Source organism: Homo sapiens, chromosome 1, assembly GCF_000001405.40.
Source record: "Homo sapiens chromosome 1, GRCh38.p14 Primary Assembly".
Taxonomy (NCBI): domain Eukaryota; kingdom Metazoa; phylum Chordata; class Mammalia; order Primates; family Hominidae; genus Homo; species Homo sapiens.
In genome coordinates this window covers 39170967-39185897 of record NC_000001.11, presented here as the reverse complement: position 1 = coordinate 39185897, position 14931 = coordinate 39170967, and the positions used below count along the sequence as shown (strand labels likewise).

General features: G+C 42.3%; 1 protein-coding gene across 1 annotated transcript in view, besides 6 other annotated features; it reads right to left on the bottom strand.

Annotated features, from left to right (window-relative positions):
- MACF1 (microtubule actin crosslinking factor 1) overlaps positions 1-14931 on the bottom strand; it is a 402972-nt gene that overhangs the window by 301241 nt on the left and 86800 nt on the right. The gene's annotated exons all lie outside the window — the stretch shown is intronic.
- Positions 1289-1802: an enhancer, noted in NCBI's record as "H3K27ac hESC enhancer chr1:39649768-39650281 (GRCh37/hg19 assembly coordinates)". NCBI's record gives its function as "activates a minimal SCP1, AML or CMV promoter by ChIP-STARR-seq in primed H9 embryonic stem cells {active_cell/tissue: H9 hESC(primed)}" and the evidence as "EXISTENCE:reporter gene assay evidence [ECO:0000049][PMID:30033119]".
- Positions 1289-2757: a biological region, named in NCBI's record as "P300/CBP strongly-dependent group 1 enhancer GRCh37_chr1:39648813-39650012".
- Positions 1558-2757: an enhancer, noted in NCBI's record as "P300/CBP strongly-dependent group 1 enhancer chr1:39648813-39650012 (GRCh37/hg19 assembly coordinates)". NCBI's record gives its function as "activates an origin of replication core promoter dependent on BRD2, BRD4, P300/CBP, MED14 and CDK7 cofactors, with strong dependence on P300/CBP, by STARR-seq in HCT116 cells {active_cell/tissue: HCT116}" and the evidence as "EXISTENCE:reporter gene assay evidence [ECO:0000049][PMID:35650434]".
- Positions 1779-2048: an enhancer, noted in NCBI's record as "active region_805". NCBI's record gives its function as "activates an Ori minimal core promoter by ATAC-STARR-seq in GM12878 lymphoblastoid cells {active_cell/tissue: GM12878}" and the evidence as "EXISTENCE:reporter gene assay evidence [ECO:0000049][PMID:35858748]".
- Positions 1803-2317: an enhancer, noted in NCBI's record as "H3K27ac hESC enhancer chr1:39649253-39649767 (GRCh37/hg19 assembly coordinates)". NCBI's record gives its function as "activates a minimal SCP1, AML or CMV promoter by ChIP-STARR-seq in primed H9 embryonic stem cells {active_cell/tissue: H9 hESC(primed)}" and the evidence as "EXISTENCE:reporter gene assay evidence [ECO:0000049][PMID:30033119]".
- Positions 13579-14105: an enhancer, noted in NCBI's record as "H3K27ac-H3K4me1 hESC enhancer chr1:39637465-39637991 (GRCh37/hg19 assembly coordinates)". NCBI's record gives its function as "activates a minimal SCP1, AML or CMV promoter by ChIP-STARR-seq in primed H9 embryonic stem cells {active_cell/tissue: H9 hESC(primed)}" and the evidence as "EXISTENCE:reporter gene assay evidence [ECO:0000049][PMID:30033119]".

Genomic DNA, 14931 nt, shown 5'->3' with positions numbered 1-14931 from the left:
TCTTCCCTGGGTCCTTCAGCACTTCAGGTTAAAAATCTCTTCTAATGATTTGTTATTTCATGAAGAGATACAGGGAGATGGCTGCTAGCAGGGAGGAGGAATATTGCTAACTAAGCCCCCGGAAAGTCCAGCACCCTTCTCTAAGAAGTAAGTTATCTGACTCATTTCCTTCTTATCCTACTCCAAAGATCTGTTTACATCCTACAGTGTACCTAGTAATATTGTCTAAAAACAAAACTCATGATCAGCCAGAAGAACGTAACAATTAAAGACTGTGTCAAGAAATAAATAAAGCTTTCCTTCCTCCCTTTCAAATTATAGTTGTTGTTTTTTAACTTTTCCTTCTTGCTTCTGATATATCTTGGGTTTATTTAAAAAAAAAATTTTTTTTTTTAAAGAAACTGGGCCTCTATGCTGTCCAGGCTGGAGTACAGTGACTACACAGGCACAATCATGGCACTATTCTATAGCCTTGAACTCCTGGGCTCAAGCAATCCTCCTGCCTTAGCCTCCCGAGTAGCTAGAACTACAGGTGTGAGCTACCATGCCCAGCTCTTCTGATATATCTTTTTCTTTTCTTTTTCCTTTTTTGTTTTTTTTTTTTTTGAGACGGAGTCTCGCTCTGTCGCCCAGGCTGGAGTGCAGTGGTGCCATGTCGGCTCACTGCAAGCTCCACCTCCCAGGTACATGCCATTCTCCTGCCTCAGCCTCCCGTGTAGCTGGGACTACAGGCACCCGCCACCACGCCCAGCTAATTTTTTTGTATTTTTAGTAGAGATGGGGTTTCACCGTGTTAGCCAGGATGGTCTCGATCTCCTGACCTCGTGATCCACCTGCCTCGGCCTCCCAAAGTGCTGGGATTACAGGCGTGTGCCACCACGCCCAGCACCAGCCCTGATACATCTTAAAGAGAGGTAGTATCTTCTACTTTTTTGGTGGTGTCCTATGCAGCCTAAAAGTCCCTTTTTCCAGGCCATCTTCAGATGAACGAGTTATAAGCACAAAGGCAGCAATTGATATTGCTAAGCCATCTCTCCTAAGACCTTCCTTGAGAGGCCTGAAACCTGAGGCAGAATATTATCAATGCTAGCCTCTCTTTTATCTTTGTGTAAATGGCTAATTTAGCCTCCAACCTCATAATCACACAGACTCTGGTAGGTGCATGATGATGACCAGGAGCACTCTTTCACAATCTTAATATAAATAACAGCCTGAATAACCTAACCAACTTTACTGCTTTGCGATATGAAAAGATACTAAGACTTATCCTGACTGAAACTCTCCATCCCGCCACCACACTCCGCCTCACCTTATCAGCTTCAACCATACAACACCATTGGAGGGCCCTCTACTCAAAGAAGAAAAACACCACCACCACAAGACTTAACTGGGCTTTGAGCAAAGATCTAGCTCTTGCCAAAATACTAGATGGAACTAGGGTACTTTTGGCAATAAGGTAAAAAATTCTGAGATCTGACCTTCTGATGTCAAGGCAAGTTCCCCTCTCTAAATATGTCAGAGGAAATGTCATGCCTTCAAACCAGCCAGTATGACCATGTGAGGCTCATTTCCAAGACACAGACCCTGCTAGCTATAGAACTGAGGCACACAGTGCAGGAACCCACACACGCCGCCCTGCATGAAAAAGAAGTCCATGACTAGCACAGGATGTTGTGAGCCATCTCACCCAGATACAAACACAGTATACCCAAGACATGCATAGACTCAACCATATGCTCTGAGGGCACATGAACAGCACTGCCCACACCAGGGCTCATGAAATAGGAACTAAAAAACAGGTGATGTTTCCTGTGATTTATGCTGGTCAATCATTCTGACTGCCCAGGCAGCCACACCATTTAATATCTTCCAGCAGCTCAATCAAGGTTCCTGTCTCCACCTGCTCCTGTGACATCATCCTGTCATTATATGTTCTTTGAAATTCCTTTGATGAAAAATGAGTCACTTCTTCCTGCCAACACAGGCCTGAGCCTCTTCCACACATGTCATTCTTTGGTAATCCTGTGGGGGCAGGGTGCCACCCAGAGGTTTCTGCAGCTACTCTCGCTATACCTCCCAAGAAAGAAGGCCTCAGAGCAAGATCAAACATAGCCTGGGGAAAAATGGGCAAATGATGAAAGAAGTGAGGATCTTGGTGGAGCTGGGTATGGGGCTGGGAAACTGCCTACTCCAGTGTGACACACAGTTTAAAGGATGAAGTAAGAACTAAGGTAGGGCACAGTCCCACTTAAAACTTGGAAATGCTTCAACTTCAGAGTGCTCACCTTAAAAGTTCGCTTCCTGATATAAAGTGCCATCATGTATTCTCCTGCAAAAAAATGATTGCAAACCTGTTTCTCACCTTGAAGATTTGGGGCAACAGTAACTTGCCTGCTCAAGACAGTGACAGTTCTGAAGCAAAATATTCAAGACAACTTCAAGATTCTCAGTGGCAGCAATAAGGGGCCCAATACAAACAGACAAATACTATTCATACCTACAAATCAGCCTAATATTTTTATAACAGCTTCACTGAGATTTGGTTAACATAAATTCACCCTTTTTAGGTAAACAATTCAATGGATATTTAAGTATCAGTATGTTCACAGAGTTGTTCAACCATCACCATTATCTAACTTTAGAACATTCCATCACCCCCTGAAGAAACCCTATATCAATTAGCAGTCACTTCCCATTCGCCCCTCCTCAACCCCTAGCAACCACTAATCTACTTATGGTCTCTATGGATTTGCCTATTATGTATAAATGGTATAAATGGAATCATACAAGCCTTTTGTGTCTGGCTTCTTTCACTTAGTCTAATGTTCTCAAGGTTGATCCATGTTAGCATCAATCAGTACTTCATTCCTTTTCACTGACAAATAATATTCTGTTGTATGGATATGCCACAGTGTGTTTATCCATTCATCAGTTGATAGATGTTTCAGCTGTTTCTGCTTTGGGGCTACTATGAATAATGCTGCTATGAACATTTATGTACGAGTTTTCTATGAATATATGTTTTCTATATTCTATGAATATAATATTTCTTTTGGATATATACTTTGGAATTGCTGGGTCATGTGGCAACTCTACTTTTTGAAGAACCACCAAACTGTTTTCTAAAGCAGGTGCACCATTTTATATTCCCACCAGCAATGTTGGGGGTGTTCCAATTTCTCCACATCCTCACTCTCTTTTTTATTAAAGCCATTCTAGTGGGTATGAAGTGGTATCTCATTGTGATCTTGATTAGCATTTCCATAATAACTAATGATGTTAAGCATCTAAGCATCTTTTCATGTGCTTATTAGCCATTTGTATATCTTCTTTGAAGAAATGGCTATATAAATCCTTTGCCCATTTTTTTATTGGGTTTTCTTTTTACTGTTGAGTTCAAAGAATTCTTTATATATTTTGGATATAAGTCCCTTATTAGATATATGATTTGCAAATATTTTCTCCCATTCTGTGAGGTGTCTTCATTTTCTAGGTAGTGTCCTTTGAAGCACAAAGGTTTTACATTTTGATCAAGTATAATTTCTCTATTTTTTTCTTTTTTGTGTATACTTTCAGTGTTAGCTACAAGAAACCACTACCTAATCCAAGGTCACAAAGATTTACCCCTAAGTTTTCTTCTAATAGTTTTGTAATTTTAGCTCTTATATGTAGGTCTATGTTCCACTTTGAGTTAAGTTTTATATGTTGTGTGAGGTCAGGGTTTAAATTCTTTTTTTTTTTTTTTTTAAGGTGGAGTCTTGCTCTGTTGCCCAGGCTGGAGTGCAATGGCGTCATCTCAGCTCACTGCAACCTCTGCCTCCCGGGTTCAAGCGATTCTCCTGCCTCAGCCTCCCGAGTAGCTGGGATTACAGGTGCCCGCCACCACATCCAGCTAATTTTTGTATTTTTAGTAGAAATGGGGTTTCACAATGTTGGCCAGGCTGGTCTCGAACTCCTGATCTCGTGATCCACCTACCTCTGCCTGCTAAAGTGCTGGGATTATGGGCGTGAGCCACAACGCCTGGCCAATTTCATTCTTTTGTATATGGATATCCAGTTGTCCCAGTATAATTTGTTGAAAAGACAATTCTTTCTACATTGAATTGTCTTGGCACCTTTATCACAAATCAATTTACCATAAATGTAAGGGTTTATTTTTAGACTCTCAATTCTATTCCATTGATCTATATGTCTATCCCTATGCCAGTACCATCCTGTCTTAATTACTGTAGCTTTGTAGTAAGTTTTCAAATCTGGAAGTGTGAGTCCTCCAATTTTGTTCTTTTTCAAGATTGTTTTGACTATTCTGGGTCCCTTGCATTTTCACATGAATTTCAGGAGCAGCTTGCCAATTTCTGGAAGAAGAGGAGGAGGAGGAAGAGGAAGACGAAGAATAAGAGGAAGAGGAGGAGGAGGAGAAGAAAGAAGAAGAAAAAACCCCACTGGGATTCTGACAGGGATTGCATTGAATCTATAGATCAGTTTGGGGAGTGCTGCCATCTTAACAATATTAAGTCTTCCAATGCATGAACGTATAAAGTAAAAGGCAATGTGAGCCACTCTTTACTAATACTCGGAAACTAAAATACTCAAATTTCCCTATGCTCTATCAAATATTTAGCACACTGGAGACCCCTGATTTGGAGGATCCCCCCAAAATAAGTAATATGCTAAAAAGATACTGATTACTGGCCCAGCGCAGTGGCTCACGCCTATAATCCCAGCACTTTGGAAGGCCAAGGCGGGTGTACCGCTTGAGGCCAGGAGTTCGAAGCCAGCCTGGACAACGTGGCAAAATCCCATCTCTACTAAAAATACAAAAATATTAGCTGGGCATGGTAGCACGCGCCTGTAGTCCCAGCTGCTCAGGAGGCTGTGGCACAAGAATCACTTGAACCCGGGAGGCAGAGGCTGCAGTGAACAGAGATGGGCTACTGTAGTCGAGCCTGGGCAACAGAGCCAGACCCTGTCTCAAAAAAAAAGATATTGATTAAAAAGTAACAGAGTGTCTTTTGTACTGCAAAGCAACAATTTTCAACAAGTTCCCAAAACAGCTGAACACCCTGAGACCTAAGAAAAAGAGACTTAGCCAACCATAGCCAGGGATGAGAGGAACAGCAAAGGCCCTGAGATCCGTCAGGCCCCACTGACCTTGGCTCATTCTACCTTAGTAAAAGGAAGAAGGATAGAATAATCATAATCCATTTCTCTATCACAAATGCGTCAAATATGTAAAAAAGTATCAAAAGAAGAAAGTACATCTTCTTTGTGTGTGTGCGTGTGAGGTGGAGTATCGCTCTGTTGCCCAGGCTGGAGTCTAGTGGCGCAATCTCGGCTCACTGAAACCTCTGCCTCCCAGATTCAAGCGATTCTCCTGTCTCAGCCTCCCCGGTAGCTGGAATTACAGGCATGAGCCACCACGCCCTGCTAATTTTTGTATTTTTAGTAGAGATGGGGTTTCACCATGTTGGCCAGGCTGGCCTTGAACTCCTGACCCCAAGTGATCCACCTGCCTCAGCCTCCCAAAGTGCTGGGATTACAGATACGAGCCACCATGCCTGGCCTATATCTCCTTTTATATCAATTGGCCACAACTCATCCCTAAGAAAAATAAATCTTTGCATTAGTACCAGAGTAGGGAACCAGAAATTTTATTAAAAATAGGCTTGTATCTTGCAATCTGGTTGAAAGAGGAAAAGCCATCATAATAAGTCTTCATCCTGCATTTATATAACAAATACTTTTTACTTAAATTTGTTTATTTAGAGCAGCTTTGAGGAGGGTGATGGAGATTATGGGGGTCTAAAAGCCCTCCAAGCTCCTTACTAGACTGTAATAAAAGCAAAGGAGAGCATAACTTCATTTTTTTAAAATTTCATTTTTGAAACAGAGTCTTGCTCTGTCACCCAAGCAGAAGTGCAGTGGTGTGATCTCAGCTCACTGTAACCTCCACCTCCCAGGTTCAAGTGATTCTCCTGCCTCAGCCTCGTGAGTAGCTGGGATTACAAGTGTGTGCCACCACACCTGGCTAATTTTTGTATTTTTAGTAGAGACGGGGTTTCACCATGTTGGCCAGGCTGGTCTCGAACTCCTGACCTCAAGTGATCCACCTGCCTCGGCCTCCCAAAGGGCTGGGATTACAGACATGAGCCACCGCGCCTGGCAGCATAACTTTAAACTATAATATATAAACTATACAATTAGCACTGGGAAAAACAGGCAAAAGGCTAACCGAGACAGTCTAAATTCTACCATCAACTCTGACCTCTTTGATCACACATAATTGAATGCCTACTGTGTGTGTGTCAGGCAATGCTCTTTACATATATAACTCTAATCCTCTCTAATTCCTATTCTTTCAGGTAGAAATTATCACCTCCATTTTACAGAACAGGAAACTAAGACTTACAGAGATTAAGTAATTTGTCCAAGATCACATAGCTAATAAGTAGCAGAGCTGGAATTCAAACCCAGGCCTCTTCAATTGCCTATCTAGTGCTTTTTCCACTAGTTCAATGGCATTCCAGTATCCTGACTCTCCCATGTATGGTTCATCCCAAAGACTTCCAGAAACAGAAGATGCAGAAGGGCAGCTAAGTCCCACCCCAACTCTGTTCTGAGTGGAGCAAGTTTTCCTAGAGCAACACGGGGTCTGGGGAAAGAAAGGAAGGGGTGGAATATGAGCAAAGACAAAGATGGACATCAGAAAATAAGTGTGTGGGGGAGTTCACCTTGCAGCTAAAAATGAAATTGAATAAGGGCAGGCAGCCCTGGCTAAGATAAGATGACTTCAGTCAAAACTGCAAACAAACCCTTTTCCTGATGACATCCATTTCTCCCCTGTAAACAGAAGTTAAAATATCACTTAATCACTGTTTAATCATTCTCCATAAGTTCACTGCAATTTAACTCCTTATGTTCTGACTGCCTCCAGCATGCTCCTAGACAATCCAGGAAAGGAACTAAAGAGACCATCAAGAGGCGGCTAAGGCTGACAATAAAGCAGAAAGAAACTTTCAATACGCATTAAGTCTCCAAAACCATTTTACCAGTTAGAAATTTTTTATATTATGATCACAAGCCACCTGATCTCTTGGCTTTCCAATCTGACACCTGATTCATGCCATAGCCATGCCTCATGAAGGAATTCCAGGAGTGAGACACCAGACCAGAATTTCACTCCTGAGGGTCAGGACTTTAGGACTGCTGGAATGTGCCCAGTAAAGACGTGGGGGTGTCTGGGCAGCTGAAAGCCTCCACACGGGAATTCAGTAAGGACAACTGCTGAACCCTGGGTTATGGATTTAAAAATAAACCTCAGTGACCCGCATGCCTTAAGAATCATTTGGGAAAGAACGTTGCTGAATCCAGCAACTATGTGCCCCACTGGGGTGAACTACAGAGAGGGAAAAAGAGAAAAATGCTTTTACTACCCCTTTCAAGGAGTATGATAGGACAAAAAGACAAAGGAAATCCAAAATTGGCTTCCCCAAGAGCAAAGACTTACAAACTACCTGTATTTCTATATTTCTTATATTTTAAGGTTTCAGGAAAGGTGTTAGTACATGTGCACTGTCTGTGAGGTACTAAGATTATGTTCAGTACATAAACGAATGAAAACCACCATGGCACATGTATACCTATGTAACAAACCTGCACATTCTGCACATGTATCCCAGAACTTAAAGTAAAATTTAACCAAAAAAAAAAAAAAAAGAATGTTGAAAAGGAAAATTACAATGTAAGGTAGCACACTGGCTGACCTTTATGGGCTTACTGAGGACACAAATATAACCTCATACTCCTCTCCTGGAATTTGTAAGGAGAAGACAATGGGGAATAAAGATTTCCCTGACAGCCTAAAGATTTCCCTGACAGCCCAGATTCTGCGGAAATCCCCCTCTCGGTGATCCCATTTCTCAACTTGATTGAAATAACTACCACCCAGATTCCTGGAAATTGCCATTTTACTTATTCAATGGGGAGTTTTATTGCCATGGCAGTGCAGCTTTCATAGCTACAGGATTTCAGCATTATGCTCACCCAAATGATTCTTAAAACTTAAGAGTCACTGAGAAAGGCCTAAGGGCACTTCAGAAAGCAATGGCTTTCCCATTCACCACAGCTTCTGGTATAGATGGCAAAGGAAATAGTGCCCGGAGCAAAACTGAGATGTTTCCCAGTTACCTCTTGGAGCTGACTCTCTGAAAGATGGTTATATTATCAATGCCAATCAGAAACTAGGCATGGAGATTACAGTCCTACCTTCCTCTATGAACACAAATACGCCTGCCCCCACCATCATCCCTCTCTCCATTAGCAATAACATTTACGAATGATATGTGGAGTGGCTCCTGGACCCCTCTCTGATGTTCCCTTTTTGCACAGCAAAATGATGACAGCCAGGGACTGATGATGCAGTTATTTGTACATTAGGCATCAATCTGGAAAACTCCTTCTATAGAAACAGTAGTTAGGCCGGGAAAGGTGGCTCACGCCTGTAATGCCAGCACTTTGGGAGGCCGAGGCGGGTGGATCACATGAGGTCAGGAGTTTGAAACCGGCCTGACCAACACGGAGAAACTCCGTCTCTACTAAAAATACAAAATTAGCTGGGCGTGGTGGCACATGCTACTCAGGAGGCTGAGGCAGGAGAATCGCTTGAACCTGGGAGGCGGGGGTTGTGGCGAACCAAGATTGCGCCATTGCACTCCAGCCTGGGCAACAAGAGCGAAACTAGGTCTCAAAAATAAATAAATAAAAATCTCCTTTTCTCAAACCTCTAGTCTGATGACAGCGATTCTCAGTCCTTAGGCCCCAACGTAGCTCTAAGATCTCTAGACTATCTCAAGAGATACTACATAATTCTCAAATATATCTTTGAAACCGGACTAATTTTAACCCTCTTAAAGCTTATATTACTTAGCATTTTTGTTAAAGGAAGGAACTGTAATAAAATTAAACAAAAGAAAAAAAGTCACAATTCAAGGATCTTACTAAAGATTACTCCTAGCCAAGGCTTCAACAGCAAGCAATGTGATTTGGAGGAAAGGCATTCAACTGTACATCAGAACCCTGGGTCATGGTTTAAGCTTGTCAATAACTAGTTATATCACTTGGCCCAAGTATCCTTTGACTTCTCCAGGTGGGCTCAGTTCCTCATCTATCTTTTCATGACACTATGAATTTGGGATTGATCTAAAAACCTATTGATCTAAAAACCTGACTATTAAACATCTAGAGATAGAACCAGTGATGCTTAGTAAGTATAACAAGAATTCATATCTAGCTCCCCAAGCATAAGCAGAAATTTTCTACAGAAAAATGACTAAAATGGGGGGAAAAAGAAGGAAAGAGCCTCATATGCAAGGTATAAGAATCAAAAGTTAGAGGACCTAAAAGGAGGAGAGTGGAAGCTATGATTACAGAATTTAAACGAAGAGGACTATTAGAAGTCTTCCCTTCCTACTCTCAATTCTCCTTTAAATAATTTTGAATAACGAAAATGACTAAGAAATGGGACAAGCTAACACACAAATAAGCATTCTGGGTAAGAGAAGAATTGTTGTGTGCTATAAAATGGATTTAGAAGAAGAAAGTGAGAATTTTTTTTTTTTTTGGAGACAGAGTCTCACTCTGCCACTCAGACTGGAGTGCAGAGGTGTGATCTCGGCTCACTGCAACCTGGGTCTCCCGGGTTCAAGTGATTCTCCTGCACTAGCCTCCCTCCTGAGTAGCTGGGATTACAGGCGCCTGCCACCACACCTGGCTTTTTTTTTTTTTTTTTTGAGAAGGAGTCTCGCTCTGTCGCCCAGGCTGGAGTACAGTGGCGCAATCTCAGCTCACTGCAAGCTCCGCCTCCCGGGTTCATGACATTCTCCTGCCTCAGCCTCCCGAGTAGCTGGGACTACAGGTGCCCGTCACCACACCTGGCTAATTTTTTTTTTTTTTTTTTTGTATTTTTAGTAGAGACAGGGTTTCACCATGTTAGCCAGGATGGTCTTGATCTCCTGACCTTGTGATCCACCCTCCTTGGCCTCCCAAAGTGCTGGGATTACAGGCGTGAGCCACTGCACCTGGCCACACCCGGCTAATTTTTGTATTTTTAGTAGAGAGAGGCTTTCACCACGTTGGCCAGGCTGGTTTCAAACTCCTGGCCTCAAGTGATTCGCCTGCCTCAGCCTCCCAAAGTGCTGGGATTATAGGTGTGAGCCACTGCCCCCGGCAGTGAGGATTTTTAAAAGGGAAGAAGAAATTAGAAAAACAGAAAGCAGAAAAGAAGGATAAAATACAATCACAACATACTTGCATTTAACTATGCAAACTTGACCAGGAAGAGAAAAATAAACAGTACAAAAGTTTGCTCACAATTCCACTCAATGAGGTTTTACACCAAAGTGAAGTTATTTACCAGGATGAACATGAGCATGAGATGAGAGGACTTGAATCTGAGACTTTAGCATGTCTAAGTCCGGTGTGCCTCTTCACATTGTGAGCATTCTGAATGCTGTACATGATTCTAGTTTTTGAGAATACTTATTTTTTCATATAAAATGTCTCCTAATTACAGGCCAACTATTTCATATGGTATTCCAACTTTGTTCTGGCATATACACAAAACCATGTTTATATACTTTAATTTCTGGGTCATTTGAGATATTTTCCATGATAATTTTGATTATTTGGAATCCTCACTTTATGTGTAAACTTTACAACCTAACCTCCTGCAGGAAGATGAGATTTTACTTTGCAAGAGAGGATGGAGCAAGGTGGGGGAGGGAGAAGGCAGCCAAGAAAGTCCTTCTAAAAACTAAAGACAATACAGAAAAGGGCAAGAAAGACACAAAAATCTAAATTTCTGTGCCACTTCCTTAGCCACTCCCAGCAATTTGGGGAAGAAGGTAGCAGTTTATAAAACAAACAGCCCAGAGACTTAGGGCAGGTCATTCTGCACATCTCTTACTATGGCCAGGGAAATGCAGTGGCCAGGCACTTGCCCAGAGCCTCCACTAGTGACATTCTCCAGACCTGGTAGTAGAGTCACTGGGACGAGACCCAGCCCTGAGGGTTTCCCCTTTTCCTACTAAGATATTTCTTGCTTCTCTTACTACTGTAAATTTGGAGGATCAGGGGCCCTTTCTCTATACCTTGGTTCAAGCTTTCCTGGGGCACAAGAAACATCACTACTCTCAGACAAAGACTACGAAAGTACACAACCCAACCCTCGCCCTTGCTTTTGCCAAAGAGTAGTTCTTCATGATGAAATTGATTCCCTTGTTGACATTCAACTAAGAAGACACTGAGCCTCTATGATGCGTCCACACAGAGAATAAATCTTTCCCTTTGCCTCTGACTGATAAAAAGTTAATGCCTAATGGGAATGTCTGCTTCCTTTTCATTCTATAAAAAAAAAGCCCTGACTTTGCTAACCCTAGAAAGCCACATTTGGAATTACTAATCGAAAAAATAAAGCTACACTCAGCATTTGCCATACACAGTAGCAGTAATATTTACTGGGATAAGCTCTTACTATGTGCCAGGCACTGTCCTAAGTATTTTCCACATATTAACTCATTCAATTCTCATTATAACCCTATGAAAATGGTCTACTATAATCCCCATTTTATAGTTGCAAAACTCTAGCCTAAAGAGAAAAGTTAAGTAACATGCCCCAAATCACACTAAGTGATAGAGTATGATTCAAGGTCAGATCAGTACAGCAGGTCCTTTGGGAACTACTGTTTTGGGTAGATTTCATAAAAGACAGGAAGAAAGAAAGGCTAGTAGAAGCAATGACCAAAAACTGGGTAGATTTTGTTGCTGTTGTTAATCTCTGCACAAATGTGCGGTAAAGCACGATTAAGTCTCCCTTAGTTCTATTTAGCTATCATTCCTTCCCCTACACCCCTTAAATACGGCACCTTCAGAGGCTCTGAAGTCTTCCCACAACAGCTTAAGAAAAAAAAAAGAGAGAGAGAAAAGGCAGCCTTAATCAAAAGCGCTTTTCTTCTGGCAAACAAAAGGCCTTGGTATTTCCACAGACAGACTAGTTATTCTTAACCCTAACCAAAGATTCTTTGGCAGAGAAAGAAATATGAAAATGTTAGGCTTCTGGGAATGGCCTGTGCTTTGGGCTCTTGTATCCCACTCAGTAAAGCCAGCCTACTGAAAAACAAACACAGCCGCCCCTCAGTAACTCTGGACCTTCAGTTAACTCCAGGGTCTAGGTCTGGAGAGAGAAATAACAGAGTCTCTACTCCTGATTGTCTAACCCTCTTCCCTCCCTGCCCAGAGGGGACTGTTCAACAGTTTTTCAAATACACTAGGAAAAACACATCTGAAGATACAGACACAGAACAATCAAATTCTGACAGTGAAGGAAATGCAACAAGTGGTAGGTGGAAGAGGATAGAAATCAGGCCTAAACCCTGAACTCTCTCACTAGCCTCTCTGCTTCTTACTCCAAATCTACAGGTTTGGCATTTCCTAAGTGAATGTTTAAGATCTAGCAATTGTTTCCAGTGCTTTTTCTTTCTTTCTTTCTTTTTTTTTTTTTTTTGAGATGGAGTCTGGCTCCATCACCAGGCTGGAGTTCAGTGGTGCAATCTCTGGTCACCGCAACCTCCGCCTCCCAGGTTCAAGTGATTCCCCTGCCTCAGCCTCCCGAATAGCTGGGACTACAGGCATGCGCCACCACATCCAGTTAATTTTTTGCATTTTAGTAGAGACGGGATTTCACCATGTTGGCCAGGATGCTCTCGATCTCCTGACCTTGTGATCCACCCGCTTCGGCCTCCCAAAGTGCTGGGATTATAGGCAAAGCCACCGCGCCCGGCCTCCAGTGCTTTTTCTACTCCACACTGGGTTTTGTAAGCAGTGTGTGGCCCTGAATGGTCCTAAGTGGTCTTTATTTTCCTAGCAAGGTAGAGAGAAATTAAAAGTATTCTGTTAAATGGGTCAGCAAGGACAAAAAAGGGAGGAGGGCTGTCTGCCAGAAGGCAAGAAGGCCCCAGCAGCACTAACCCAAGTATATCTGGGCTAACTCAGAATCTGTGACATGCCAACCTCACCCCTTGCATGAACACAGTAACGTTACTATAATAAAGTCTCTGAAGCTTTTATACTCAGTCAGTAAGCACCTTCTCCTTGCTGCCTTGCCCAGGATATAGTGAACAAAACTACTAAGAGGGCACAGGCCTGATGGCTCATCTCCTAGCAGCCAGGACTCTGTTAGAGTGGTGAACAAGAACAGCCACGTATGAAAAGTGGCAGCCTGGCCTTGAAATCCCCAGAGTGAGCAGACAAATTAATGTGTGATTAGTATCTATAATGGTACCAAATCTTGAGGAGTTAAACCATGAGGTAATAAGGCCCCACATGGCTCTGACCTCTGGATCCTCTCTGATTACTCTGGAAGTAGGTCCTATTCTTGTTCCCAGGCAGGTATGAAAGGCCCAGGGAGTGAAAGGCACTGTTTAGCCAAGCTCAACCCATGAGCAAGTTTCAAATGTCTGGCATATAGTAGGCTCTCAAATATTTGTTGAATGAATAAATGAATAAAACATTTCATCTTCAACTGCTATAATCAATTCTTTCCTACAGCCAAAGGGATAGAGGGATTATCAGAGAATTCTAGGCAGTGGGGAAAAAAAACTTTTCCCTGCCACTCCCTGGATAACATGGTCTTATTTTGCAAAGAATAATGCTCCCTTCTATATAAAATTCATTACTTGACTGTCCTCCCACAGAGCTGGATAACAGTCCACACTATCCTAAATCAAGCACAATGGCTCTTCTGCAGCTGATGTGCAACATTCAGAGTCCCCTGAAAGATGGCAGAGCACACTCAGGGAGGTTTCCACCGTAGCATTTTAAAAAATAATAGCAACTTGAAACAATCCAAATATTCAACAATAAATGAATGGCTAAATGAAGCCATTATCAACAAGATAACTTAAAATTATAATGTCTGGGCCGGGCGTGGTGGCTCACGCCTATAATCCCAGCACTTTGAGAGGCTGAGGCGGGCGGATCACGAGGTCAGGAGATCGAGACCATCCTAGCTAACATGGTGAAACCCCGTCTCTACTAAAAATACAAAAAAATTAGCCGGGCGTGGTGGCGGGTGCCTGTAGTCCCAGCTACTCGGGAAGCTGAGGCAGGAGAATGGCGTGAACCCGAGAGGCAGAGGTTGCAGTGAGCCGCGATAGCACCACTGCACTCCAGCTTGGGCGACAGAGCGAGACTGTGTCCAAAAAAGAAAATTATAATGTCTGTAACGAAACACTTAAAAAATCCTTATAATGTTACATGGAAAAGGCATGTAAATATGTGCATATGCTAAGTGAAAGAAGCCAGAGACAAAAGGCCACATGACTAAATTTATATAAAATATCCAGAATGAGCAAATCCAGGGCAGGCAAGTCACAAAGCTGATTAGTGGTTGCCAGGGGTTGGGGAGAAGGGGAATTACTGCTTAATGGATATGGGATTTCCATTTGGGATCATGAAAAAGTTCTGCAATTCAATAGTCATGGTGTTTGTACAATATTGTGAATGTACTTAATGTCAATGAACTGTACACTTTAAAGTACTTACAATGATCAATTTTTTGTCATGTGTATTTTACCACAATAAAACTGGATCGGGAGAAAAATACACACACACATACACACACACACACACACACACACAAACAGAAAGATTACAATTATGTAAAAGTAAATATGGACCAGAAAGGAACGCAGACAAGTCCCAACGTCTGTTAAATTCAAATGGGACTTCATTGCTGTTGGACCACAAATAAAAATCACGAAAGGAAAATAAAAATGTCAGAAGCTTAGAGCCAGCCCTACAGTCACAATCACAAGCCTGCAAACAAGTGCCTACCAAGTGGGGGACAAGTTACATAGCTACCAGGCGCCAGAACAG